Here is a 14,030-nt window from a genome sequence, read left to right as displayed (position 1 = left end):
GGGTCACCCATATTGTTTGGCCCCAAATATTGTTTAATAGAGAGAAGCCATTTGAGCGGACTTTCTAATCCATATGCCTTTCTTCAGAGGAGGTTTGTTTCAGTAATGTAATTTAGAAAATATTTAATGAGTACCTGCTGAAGACAAGCTATCATACCTGGCATTGAGGATATATGGCTCAGTAAGATATAGTCTGTGTTCTCAGGGAGAACATGTCAAATGACACAGTCATTCAACAGCAAAGAATTTTTTGTTTGTTGGTGTTTGTTGGTGAGGCACTGTGCTAGGCTTTGGGTTGAAGCAGTGAAAAAACAAAGTCCTTGTCCTTACAGCATATATTCTAGTGATGGGAGAAATGGACAGAGACCAAACCAATGGGGTGGTCTTGGTGTAAGCCATGTACTATGGAAATATGAGGAGACTGCCTGGGAAGGTGCCTGCCCAGCGTTGACCTCCTTCTGTTTGGAAGAAAACTCCTGTGTTCTCCTCTCAGCAGAGCACAGGTGACAAGAGTGAGAACTTGTGGTTGAAATGGAAATGAGGAAGGAGTAGAAGGAAAAAGTGAAGTTCAACCTGACCCTGTTCACTTGCTGTGAGGATGTCCTTGTCACAGGCAGGCAACTCCCAGATCTGGAAAATGAGAAGAATGATACTGACAAATCGGGAAATGGAAGGGATTTCCATCAAGAGCATGTTACTAACACCTTGTCCTAGCCCATTGCTATATATGTATTTATGCTGCTCAGTTCTCAGCCTCAGGGCAAGGGACCAGAATAGCAGGGGATTTTTAATAACCAGCTCCTCATTGAGACAGATAGTGGGCCTTGCAGCTCCCAGACAAGGAAATATGACCCAAATGAGCAGTAATTTACTTGAAGCTTTACTTTTTTTAAAAAGTGAGATTGTTGCCTTAGATTTGAGGAGCCTTGGGGGTCCCCTTAGGGGGTGAACATCCTTGGTGTGATTTGCTTTGTAGGCTTGGGAGCTCTCCAAGTTCCTACCTGGTATTTCTTCTTCAGAGCTTGTAGCACGTTCTTCAAATCAGACCTGTCAGTGTGTAGTAAGAACTGTCCTCTTCTCCAGAGGCTGAGAAGAACAAAGCAGTAGAAGGAAATTCCCCTGCAGCCGCCTGAGAGGGAGGGTGGAGAGGGAGCAGACAGCAGGGGGTGTGGAGGCTCCGTGCCATGGGAGATGGGTGTGTGGAGTGTGTGTGTGGTGCTCTCCCGCCCGCATGGCTCTGGAAAGAGACCTCCTTCTAACAGGGACCCCTCTGTTGTTGTGGCTCAGAGCTTCGACTTGAGAAGCATACTTTCCCAGTGATGCCACTGGATTCCTGATGTGTGACACTCCCGGGCAGCATCGTGAAGGGTGCTGTTGACTGCCTTGGAGATCCCAGACAGGGACACCATTATGAGTCACATTGAACATGTGAGCTCCCCTTCCCATGACTGGCGCTATTATTAGTACCGTTTTCTGCTCTAGGGGACAAAGGTCACTGAGACCACAGTCCATTTGGGTAGGTGGAAGAGGCTGGGCACAGGGATAAGGGGGAGTTGCAGGGGGAATGGAGGAAGAGGCTTTACAAGTTTAGGATATGTTGGAGCAAGGGCAAGGGATGGGGTCCTGGAGCCCTGTGGATTTGGGCAGACCTCCGCTAAGCACACAGAAACACCCTCTAGAAGAGTCGTAACTGGGAGTGCTGGACTCATTCATTGTCTGCACCAATCTTGGGTGTGAGAACTTCTGATGGGCCTGGATGTGGGTGTCGCTGGTGGATCTGTGTAGCCAGTGTGCCTTCCAACCCCAGAGCTGCCTCTAAGCTTTGGGTTTCCAAGTGGCCCTGAAGTCCCCTCCCAGACCTGAAGTGAGGGTGATGCATTGCTGTGGAGACAGGCTCCTGTATTAGACCATCCACGGGCCCAGCCAGGAACTGCGCCCACCCTGGCCCAGTGTTTCTGGCTGGAAGAACATTTCCATGTCTTTCCTAGTTCTCTTGCTCCCCACAACAAAAAGGCAGTTTAGGAGTCAGCAAAAAGGTGCTAGAGGGGACGCTTCAGCGGCCATCATGAACTCCTCTCACTTGGTACAAAAATGTGGGCTTTCTGAAGGGTGAGCCCTGTGTGCACCAGTTAGGCTGGAGTGCGCCTGTGGGGTTTCTCTACAGGAATCGGGGGAGGGAGCCAGGAACTGACATCTCTGTTATGTTGACTGTCCTATTATGAAGCCAACGGGAGAGATTTCTTCCCATTCATATTCCCATTATTTCTTTAGGTATCTGCTTTTCCTATCTATCCTCCCTCTTTCCTTGGGTGTAAACAGAAAAAAAAAAGAGTTAGAGAGCTCTGCACCTAGGACTTGGGCTTCTAGGGCCTGAATTTAATTTTTTTTTCTTTCATTCCTTTTGAACAAAGGAAAAGTCACAATGAGGACAAAAGTCCTCTGACGAGTACTCACCCTGTCCCAGACTCACCGGGTCCCGTATGCTGACATCACAGAGAAAGGGCAGGGCAGGGCATCTACAGCCTATGACTGCTTGACATTTCAGTTTGGAAAATGCACTGGTAGAAAAGGAAAACTAACCATTCCGTCAGAGGGTTCGTCCTCTGGGAGCTGGTGCAAACCACGGGAATTGAAGGTCCCTTCTCTGCATTGTGGCTGCCAAGTCCCAAGGGCAGGAGACTGCAGTGTGCTCCTGGGCCCTGTTCTCCAGCACCAGCAGATGTGCTGACAGCTCCCTGCCAAAGACTCATCCGGGGGAAGGATCTCGATCTTCCCATCCCTTTCCTCGGCTTGGTGTCATGAGACCCCGTGCCCCAAAGAGATTTTCAGATAGTGGGAGAGAGGTTCAAAGGTGAACATTGGGAAGGAGAAACAATGAAGTAATGTAACATAATGGCTACCACAAGAGGATGCTGGAAATATCTCCTGTGGAGGTGGATGCCATGGCGGGGCCTGGCACGGCCACTGGTGGTCGGATGACTGGGAGAACCACTGGCTATCCCGTGTCCTGCAACTGCTGTGAGAAGTAGGGGAGAGAGTTTTTCAAGTCAGGTCCCCTTATCCCTTGGAACATTGCACTCAGTCAGGCAGTTTAGATGCCAGGCCTTTGGCCTGGTCCTGTCCAGGGGCAACGTAGCATTGAGATGAAGAACCTGGGGATGGGCTGCATGGGTTCCAGTCCCGGCTACTCCACTGCTGATCTAAATGGCCTTGCAGTGTGTCAGTTTTCTCTGCTGTGAAGTGGTAGAAACAAATAGCACAACAGTTGCATCCACCCCACAGAATTATTGGGAGGAATGAAGGAAACGAGTGTAGAGCGTCACTCACAGTGTCTGCGGCGTAGTAGGTGCACCGTCAAGCATAGCACTCATTAGTTTTTCTCTGTCAGGGTCTAAGGCAACCCCCTCTCCTCCGAGGCTTCTTTTACATAGCTTTGGGATAGAATGGTTTTCTTCATGTCTCTCTTCAGTCTCTATAGTTATCGTGAGTTTCTCCAAGAAACCTATTCTGTGACCAGGGCTCTGGCAGCTGCATTTCTTGAGAGCGATTTGCTGTTTTACTTCTTTGTGCCTGTTAGGATGGCTTCTCAGTGGATTCCTCTGAGAATGTCACGGTTAGTTTTGTGAGCCCAGGCAGAAAACAAGTAGCTCATGACTTTAGGCAACTCCCAAGAAACCTGCAAATGTCCCTGAGTTGAATACGAAACGGTTTTTATTGAATGAAAGTAGAAACAGAGGAAGCTACGGCTTTACCAGTGCGGCCCTCTGGGCTGTTGTTCGAATGTTACTTTATTTTATAGGCATTCACTGAGCCATTTTATTGTGGAATACATGTAAGGTATTTCTTGCAAGATAGTTTTAAAGAGCTAATGGTCCATTCTCAGAAAGAGGAGGTAGAGCTATTTCATGTTTTCATATTTAGCGTGGCAAGTGCTGAGAGGAGCCTTGGAAACCACCATTAGGAAGTTGTTACTGGAGGAGGACTTCCTTTGGCTGTGGGATGATAGCTCGTGTCAGTAGCTGTTTCTTTACTTCATTGGAGGTTGCCCTGGTCCTTTGAGTCTAAAGGCCTGGGTACTAGACCCAGAACCACCATTTCGCTAACCGTGGCTCAGAGCAAAGTCACAGTACTTTGCTGAGCACTTTTTCTGCACCATTAGAAAGGAAGCCGTAAGACCACTTGTGCCTCTCCTTACAGCAGAGGGTTGGGTGTGGATTTTAGGAGCAAGCACAACGATGCATGTGAAAATGTCTTGTAGAAATATGAGATACAACAAGACATTACCCTTATGGATTATGAAGGCAATTTCTTTTTTAGATTGAGAGGGAACTTAAAGTTTGTTTCCTGTTAAATCTCAGTTTACTTTGGATCAGACAAATTTGCAACTCCGGTGAAAAATTAGAGCCTTAGTGAGCAAAGCTTTCCTGTAGGAGCTGGTGCTTCCTGGGCTGTATCCAGAGACATGGACTGGGTCTTTCCCAGTCCCGCTCTGCCCAGTTTGTTTATGTTATAAGGGGCAGTGTAACAAGAAGCATGGACTTTTGAACCCCTATTTGTCTCTCCACCGACACCTATAAATTAAGAATCACTGGTGGCATTGTCATTTCAGATGAGAAAAGTATCCTCAAAGGAAATCGGTGTGATATAAACCTTTTAGCATAGAATAAATTGACTGTCAGAGTGTTGATGGCTAAGACAGAGAAGTGTGTGTGTGTGTGTGTGTGTGTGTGTGTGTGTGTGTGTGTCTAATTTAGAATATACTGAACCTATGCAGAATTTCTGACAGTCCTCATCTGACCCCTGAGGATTTTCTGGGTGGCACGTTAATTCCTCAAATAGTAATGATGCTTTTTTTTTTTTTTCCTTTGGGTGCTTTCCTGTAAGTGGACTGGAAGGGCAGGGTGGTGGCAGTGGAGAGAAATATTATGACTGAACAGATATTTAACATCTATTTCCTTGTAAGAGGGCCGGAGGATAGTGATCCTTCTTACTCACAAATCAGGGGCCACAGGCTCCCTACTACAGAGCAGTGCTTATGAGCCATAACTTGTGTTTGGAACTGGCAAAGACATTCATTCCTTCGTTAATATGTTTCTTACTTCTGAAGGCAAAAATAATGACTTAGTTTTTGCAGGTGTAAAAGATTATGCTGCCTTAGAATATCCCAGAGGATAGGCACAGTGTTCTCTTTCTAGAATTTGTTTAGCAATAAAAATGAACCGATCCTTAAGTTAATCAAAATAAAGCACTTGACACATTTTCTTCCATGCTTTTGTTTTATAGGGAGGCCTTTGTCTTTTCTATCTGTTCGAGCTCATAACACTTCCTCCGACATGTGCACTGTCTGTTGCCTTCATTTTCTCCTGGCTGGATGGGCTGAGAGAAGAGGGATGTGGGAGTGCCGTGTGTGGGGATTAGCTGCGTAGAGTGCTGAATATCTGGTGTAATGATTCACAATGGCTTGTGTTTCTAGGCAGTGGACCAATCCAGCTATGGCAGTTTCTTCTGGAATTACTCACTGATAAATCCTGTCAGTCTTTTATCAGCTGGACAGGAGATGGCTGGGAATTCAAACTTTCTGACCCAGATGAGGTAAGGAAGGAGGGGCTTGCGAGTACTGTGTTGAGGAAGGATGAGAGAAAACTCCTGGAAGGGGTGGCGTGGGCCTGAATGACGTGTTCCAGGATTGGGATTCCCAGCTCTGCCACTTGCCACCCGGAGCAAGCTAGGTAGCCTGTCTGAGCTCCAGGTTCATTATTTGGAAAATAGAGAAAAGATCTATGTTACCCCATTTGTCTTACAGGATTAGCTGATAGAAGGCATTAACGTGCCTGGCAGTAGGTCAGTTATCACCCATAGAGCTGCCTCCTGTGACTTAGCCTCTTCCTAGCCCGGTGGCTCTGTGAGTGTGAAAGGGGCCAGACAGTTCAAGAGGCCTTGGGAGATTGGCTCATTAGTTTCTTATTTCATTACACACATGTTTATGGAGTAGTGGTTCCGTGCCATGCCCAATTCTGAGGATAAAAAACAATGAACAGGAGAGACAACATCTTTGTTCTGGCAGACATGAGAAAATATTTGTGCCCTGGTATGGAAAAAAAACACTTCCTGTTGATGAAAGGCAGGTATGATTGCAGCTCAGCTCCTCCGCTTCACACTTCCCTGTTAGATTTCATGCTTGCAAAGCAAGGAGATTTTACTAATAATATGCGGAAAGAGGAGAATGTATAGTGTGGCTTTTTGTTTGTTTTTTAAAGTCACATATTTAATCCTAGTTCAGGGTCACTGTGTTTTCATCAACTTAAAGAATCATTGTGACTCCCATCCTTGCCCAACCCATGAAAAATGGAATTCAGGAGATAGGCCCGAAAAATATTTTCTATATCTACATGAATCTCAAATCATCTTACTTGAGCATCATGGGTCACCATGAATGGGTATAGCATAGGCATAGAAACATATATATTTGGCCTGTCTTGTAGATTTTTGCCTACTCCTCCTTTATTTTTCTTTTTAAATTTCAGGTGGCCAGGAGATGGGGAAAGAGGAAAAACAAACCTAAGATGAATTATGAGAAACTGAGCCGTGGCCTACGCTACTATTACGACAAAAACATCATCCACAAGACAGCGGGGAAACGCTACGTGTACCGCTTTGTGTGTGACCTGCAGAGCCTGCTGGGGTACACCCCTGAGGAGCTGCACGCCATGCTGGACGTCAAGCCAGATGCCGACGAGTGATGGCACTGAAGGGGCTGGGGAAACCCTGCTGAGACCTTCCAAGGACAGCCGTGTTGGTTGGACTCTGAATTTTGAATTGTTATTCTATTTTTTATTTTCCAGAACTCATTTTTTACCTTCAGGGGTGGGAGCTAAGTCAGTTGCAGCTGTAATCAATTGTGCGCAGTTGGGAAAGGAAAGCCAGGACTTGTGGGGTGGGTGGGACCAGAAATTCTTGAGCAAATTTTCAGGAGAGGGAGAAGGGCCTTCTCAGAAGCTTGAAGGCTCTGGCTTAACAGAGAAAGAGACTAATGTGTCCAATCATTTTTAAAAATCATCCATGAAAAAGTGTCTTGAGTTGTGGACCCATTAGCAAGTGACATTGTCACATCAGAACTCATGAAACTGATGTAAGGCAATTAATTTGCTTCTGTTTTTAGGTCTGGGAGGGCAAAAAAGAGGTGGGTGGGATGAAACATGTTTTGGGGGGGGATGCACTGAAAATCTGAGAACTATTTACCTATCACTCTAGTTTTGAAGCAAAGATGGACTTCAGTGGGGAGGGGCCAAAACCGTTGTTGTGTTAAAATTTATTTTATTAAATTTTGTGCCAGTATTTTTTTTCTTAAAAATCGTCTTAAGCTCTAAGGTGGTCTCAGTATTGCAATATCATGTAAGTTTGTTTTTATTTGCCGGCTGAGGATTCTGTCACAATGAAAGAAAACTGTTTATATAGACCCCATTGGAAAAGCAAAACGCTCTCACTGAGATCAGGGATCCCAAATTCATGGGACTTATATAAGAAGGACAATTAATGCTGATTTGGGTACAGGGGAATTATGTGTGTGAATGTCATCTACAATTAAAAAAAATTAGCACATCCCTTTACTTACTTGTTATCAGTGGATTCTCGGGGTTTGGACTTAATGTTGAGCTAAGAAGCATTAAGTCTTTGAACTGAATGTATTTTGCATCCCTGGTTTTGGACGACAGTAAACGTAGGAGCACTGTTGAAGTCCTGGAAGGGAGATCGAAGGAGGAAGATTGACTTGGTTCTTTCTTAGTCCTATATCTGTAGCATAGATGACTTGGAATAAAAGCTGTATGCATGGGCATTACCCCTCAGGTCCTAAGAAATAAGTCCTGAATGCATGTCGTTCCAAACTAACACTCTGTAATTTTTCTTTTATGTCTTATTTTCCAAGAGTCCTCCATTTTTTGCACCCCCTCACCGCCAACTCTGTTATTCAGTAGAGAGAAGTGTACGGCTTTCTGATTGGTGAGTGAAAAAGTAACTTGAGACACGACCTAAGTTGAAGAGTTTAGACTTGCTGAGTTTTAGAAGTGATGGAAATTAAGAGAGCATTTCAATAAAATGTGACTTGGCTGTCTTTGGAAGAGAAGTGCAAGGCTTTCCTTTGAAGAATTTAAATTAGTCCGGTAGGATGTCAGGTGAGACTGTGTATGCAAAATGAATGGCACAGGTGATGCCAGGGCCTCTTGCTTGGGTCTGATGTCTTGGCACAGGGTAAGTGAAGGTTAATTCCAGAAGAGAGGAATGACTTGAAGGCAAAGGAAACTAAGGAAGGAGGTTCAGTGAGGAAAATAAGGTTGTCCATGAGATTTGAATAGATTTTTAGTTCCCCCAAGGTTTAAATACAAACATAGTCAAGCAAGGTAGTCATCTTTCTGCTGGTTGTGAGGGGGAATCTGAAAATGGAGTTTTAGAGGAAAAGTCAACATCTAACTAGTGAGGAAAAGTGCCTAATACAATTAGAATCTCCCTCACTCTATAGTTGCCCAGTTGAAAGGATAAGGAGGAGGGGTGGCTTTTATGGACTTCCATGAGAGAAGGAAAGAAATATTTCAGGTAAGCTTCTCAGGGCTGGCCCTTTTTGGGATTTGGATGAGAAATTGGAAGTACTAACTACTTTCTAGCATATCTTTAAGAAAATTGATTGTTATTTACTCCCAGATCCTCTTGCAGACCCAGAATTATCAGGAACATAGCTCTGTGATTCATGAGTGTCCCCATACTGATGAATTGGAGCATCCATATGGAAAGCAAAGGCAGAATTATCCCAGCTGTATTATTTTGATCTTTTGGATGCAGGTGCCTTAATGAAGCTCTCAAAATATTTTAGGAGCTGCTCAGGGAGTGTTGGGTGGAACTGTTTGGACTACATTGTTTTCTCTTAGATTATGTGATTTTTGTTGGGCACTGGCAAAAGGTGTGTGTGTGAATGTGTGCATGTGTGTGAATGTTGTGTGTGTGTGTGTGTGTGTGTGTGTGTGTGTGTGTGTGTGTGTTTGCAGACATGCAAAACTGCAGCTGAAATAATACCTTAGATTTCTAGGTAAGTCTTTCCACATTTCAATAATGGGTAAGAGTAGAACCAGGGCCGGGTATCAATTATTGCTTGCTGTTTGCAACCAGGCATAAAATCACTTTCTCAAATCATCCACCGTTCCTATTAAATTTATGCCGGAAACTCTCCTTCTGTGAGTATAACTCCTGCAGTTCCTATAGCAGATAAGATATAAGAAAGTGCCTCCTAGTGCTCCTCCGCCCGCTTGTTTGCTAAAATTCCCTTTCTCTCTAAGTCCACCATTTTCAAGATTTGTAGATAGTGTATTAGTTAAGACAGCTTTGTCGATCTGGCCAGATGTTTTTTCTCCTTTGTCCAAAGGCCAGAGACCATCCCAGGAAGAGTGGTGGGTGGTTTATACACTGGAAATGTTGCGTTTATGCTTTTTAAAAACACACGTTAACTTCAGAGGAAGGATGGGCAAATCTGGTCTAGCTGGGTGAAACCCTTATTTTCCCAGAGATGCCTTAACCTTTGTTGGTTTTGGCTTTAGGGTTCAGAGTCACTTTTGTTCCCTTCTCCATTCTGGAGAGGGACTTCCCCTACATAGAGCCCTGATTTTTGTGGCTGTGGGGATTGGAGGTAGCATTCAAAGATCAGATGTGCTTTTCCTCACTTTGGAGATGAACACTCTGGGTTTTACAGCATTAACCTGCCTAACCTTCATGGTGAGAAATACACCATCTCTCTTCTAGTCATGCTGTGCATGCCGCTTACTCTGTTGGGGTCTATATAAATTTGTTGAACTCTTACCTACATTCCAAAGAAGTTTCAAGGAACCATAAATATATGTATACATATACATATATAAAATATATATATTAAAATAAAATTATCAGGAATACTGCCTCAGTTATTGAACTTTTTTTTTTAAGAATACTTTTTTTTTAAGCTGAGAAGTATAGGGATGAAAAAGATGTTATATTGTGTTTGACTATTTTCCAACTTGTATTTTCATATAATTTATATTTTTTAAAAGCTGAAAATTTAGAAGCAAGATGAAAAAAAGGAAAAGCAGGTGCTTTTTAAAAATCAGAACTGAGGTAGCTTAGAGATGTAGCGATGTAAGTGTCGATGTTTTTTTAAAAAAAAATGCAAAAAAATTCTTATGGCGGAGTTTTTTGTTTGTTTATTTTAGTAGCTGATGCTGGCACATCATTTTGCTGGAGAGTTTTTTATATACTGTAGCCTGATTTCATATTGTATTTTAAACTGTGTGAAATTAAAAACAAAGAATTTCATTCATAATGCTGTGGCTTTGGCTTGATTCTTTCTTGTCTGGATCATGTATTAAAGCAGGACAAATCAACCAACCAGAGGCAAGCACAGAGGGATGCAGTTTAGTCTTTCTGATCTCACTAGCTCAGGACCATTGGAGATAAAGATTTCCTAATAAGGTGAGAAATATAACAGGAATATAGGGAAGTCATCGAACATCCCAATCTTTGAATATATTGTGTCATCCTTTGTGGAATGTCCCTGGCCTTGTCAGACCTCACTTCTTCATGTCCGAAGGACTAAGAGCCATGTGAAGGAAACGTTTAATGACTCAACAGATAAACATTTGATTTCAGCTACGTACCGTTCCTGATATGAATACAGAAAGTTGAACATCTTTAGTGGATCCTGTGGGAAATGAACAGTATTCTTGTGTCCACCACTGATACTAATTTTGCTCTATGGCAATTTGGGCCCTTCACATCCATCTCCTTGGCCCCAACTCTTTCACTGGGGCTGAAGATTGGGAATAATAATATCTGTCAGAACCCCTAGCAACACATGCCATAAATAAAATCATGTTTATAAGTGCTTTGGAGGGGAGTGCTTAGGAACACCTCATGCATGGTGCTTTTTCCTTGTTGCTGAAACTGTAGAAGGTGGATGTTTTTAATTAACACCAACATTTGCAACATGAATCCCAGCTCACAGCTGGAAAGAGAATTTTTGCTGAATTGTTCACAAAGAGAGCTCTGTTTTTGGAAAATCTGTTTCTTCAGGCCTGGAGCTTGAGGTTTGCTGAGTACATGTTAAGCACGGACTGTGTGGTCTGGTGGTCAGGGAGCAGGACTGGCCGCGAAGAAGGCTTCAGCCCCTCAATCCTGGTCAAGCCACCACCACTCACTGGGAGACTTTGGGAAAAATGGCTTCAGGTCCTTATATTTTGTTTTTAGTTTTCAGCTGCAAACCTGGGAAAAGCCACAACTCCTGAGCCAACCTGAGGCCACATTTGAACTCTTCTCCCGAATAAACAGCACACAGAGAATAGGTTTCTGCTTCAGTCAAGGATTCAACCAGAGAGCTTTTCTTCAGTGCCAAGTTGCAGTTATCCCTCCAAGTACCCGACTCAGTGCTCACCAGGGTCAAAGATACAAGACGTACTTGAATAATTCAGCTTAGGCTTACGCTTCTCCCACTAGGAGCCAGAGTTCAGATGAGGAGCCCTCAGGCAACCGGGCTTTGGTGATTCCTCTTAACAATACTGCTGAGACCACAGTTGAAGCTGCAGTGATGGGGGTCTGTAGAGGAGACAGTATCTTCAAAAGCAGTTGCAGAATTTGGGAGGATCGGGTAAGGTGAGGATAGAAGGAGACACAAGGGAAAGAGGAGGTGATGGTCACACTCTGTAGATTTGAACAGCTTTCAGAAGGTGATGGGATAAGAAAATTAACCAAGTCTACTCTGACTCGACTGCTATAACTTTGGAGCAAGCTGCAGCACCCAAGACAAAAAGAAAAGAAAAACAAATGGATCGGCAGAGGTGTATGAATGAAATGTAACTATTTAAACCTAAAAAGGAAAAGGATTGTGATTTGTGCTTTGGGTACAATGAGGCAAACAATGTGAACTAGAGGTCACACTCAGGCTGGTTCCATGCCATAGAGATGTGCACTTTTGCCTTCACAGTGTAGGAACCCCTTGCCCCACGCAACCCAAAAGAAGAATGTACCGTAGTAGGTTAATGGGATGTCTTTGGATTCTAGCATATTCCTTCATAGCAACCACCATGGGCACTGAACTGAAGCTGCCTCCTTTAGGTGCATATCAGTCCCCTATTTTAACTCTCATAGGTCAGGCCCACACATTGACATTCCTGCCTTGTCCCTGTAGAATTTAATTTTGTGACCCCTGTGTAGATATCTATCCACATTCCATGTTTACTTGGCATGAAGCTCATTTTATTCTAGAGCCTACGGTGGAAGAGAGTACAAGAGGTCATCAGGTTCATCAGAGAACCATCTGACTTCTAAGCCCTGTTCTTTCCATGATGCCGTATTGCTGGCATAGAACGCTGAAAAGTCTCTTTTGATGATGCTGGCTGATGGCTCACCAGCTCTGGGAGCCACAGGCCTGGTTACTAAGGGGTACGTTTCACACATCAAATATGGGACAAGGACAAAGTCTTCTTTCAGTACGTGAGCCTTTTCACTTCCATACTGCTGTTTGGCCTCTGCTTTTCCCCAGGGGCTGCTCTGGAAGATGGTTTGCGACTCAGTTCTAGTTGTACAAAGTCCCTTCTCTGGCTTGTATACAGGGATCCTTGACCATCCTCATGGCTGGATTAAGGACCTGGCCCTTGCATTTATGGGCATATTGGCTCGGCATGCTGCTGGCATCTCACTACTCTGTGAGATCCCTCCATGCCGTGAGAATCCTCACCTAAATAATAGAAGAGAAAAGCATTCCCCTGGCACTTTTTGCAGTGAGGCAGAGATTCAAGGAGTCTGATAAAGGCAGTTGTTGATCAATTGGTGAAAATGCCACAAGGTTTGAACTTGAGGAAAAAAAATTTGATAAGAATTTAGAACCCCAAATGAGGGGGTAAAGTGGCTCTGGCCTCTCTGTCCCTTGGTCAGTGCTATTTCCTGATTTACTCAATGTTCCAGTCCCTTTCCCTGTTTCCACTTTCCTGGCAAATGCTTCTGCCCTGGGAAAGCCAGTTGCATCAGATTGCCTGGTGTATCTCAATGTCCTGACATCCAAAGTAATGATGGCGATGATCATCTGCCCACAGCAACCTAGGGAATCAACAAAGGCCAGGCTTGTGGCAGGCTGCAAAATCCCCAAAGCCCGTTTGAGTTTACAGTCCTATCTCTAATCTCTCTGCCCTGCCACTCAGACTCTCGTGCTCTCTGGACGACAGCATTTCTACAGAGCTTTGATGTCAGGTCAGCCCTGGTCATTCCATGTGATACAATTTAGCGGCACAAGGATGTTTTCAGCAGCCTCTTGTGGGAATTAGTGAGGGTCAAGATAGAGTCACTACCTTCTCTCTCTCCACTCCACATGGTCAGCCTGAGCCACTGGCCCTGGGCAGTAACAGGCTCTTTTTAACCTTTTTATAGGCAAACCTGTAATTTAAGCTGTGACTCTCCTTGTACCTTGTCAAAGGCTGTCCCCCAAATGTACCTAGAAATAGCACATGTACAGGTATACTCAAAGAAGTGGCAACTGTCTTTGCAAACCTGAAAAGCTAATGATGAGTACTGGGTTTGGTCTGGGATTGCCTCTGTGAAACAAGGATATTCCTAACTTTAGAAGAAGAGATGGGACTGGGAGCTTCCAGATGGTTTTGGAACTGTGTTGTGTTCATCAGAAATAGTCATTGTTCTTACAGATCTCAGGGGAAGGCAAGTTCAAAACTCCAAGTGTGATTGAACTGGGGGACTCCCTCTGCCAATCTACTTCTCAGGTAGACCAACTTTGTTCCATTTGTTCTGCCTTCCATGGGAATAAGGAAGTTTGCAAATACAGTGCAGCCAGTGCACCTGTAATGTGAGAGGCTTATCCATATTTGAGGCAAGGTAAGAATGACGGTGAAAACAATGACTAGTGTGACCAGTGTTTAGGGGTAACAGATATTTCATTCAAATATCTGTTTTCTCCATGGCCACGTTTTCATCATGATAGCACAGAGCTGTGCACGAGAGCCCAAGCGGATTTA

General features: G+C 44.2%; 1 protein-coding gene across 10 annotated transcripts in view; it reads left to right on the top strand.

The window, feature by feature from the left end:
* Positions 1–10,336, top strand: part of ETS1 (ETS proto-oncogene 1, transcription factor) — a 128,794-nt gene extending 118,458 nt beyond the window's left edge. For all 10 annotated transcript variants that reach the window (XM_017017314.2, XM_017017315.3, NM_001143820.2 and 7 more), the window contains 2 exons: positions 5,474–5,592; positions 6,525–10,336. In XM_017017314.2, the coding sequence (XP_016872803.1) occupies positions 5,474–5,592; positions 6,525–6,740 (335 nt within the window). In that variant the 3' untranslated portion in view covers positions 6,741–10,336. The remainder of the gene's footprint in view (positions 1–5,473; positions 5,593–6,524) is intronic.

Source organism: Homo sapiens, chromosome 11 (genome assembly GCF_000001405.40).
Source record: "Homo sapiens chromosome 11, GRCh38.p14 Primary Assembly".
NCBI classification, from domain to species: Eukaryota; Metazoa; Chordata; class Mammalia; order Primates; family Hominidae; genus Homo; species Homo sapiens.
Note: the sequence above shows the minus strand (reverse complement) of the source record. Positions and strands in the feature narration are given on the sequence as shown.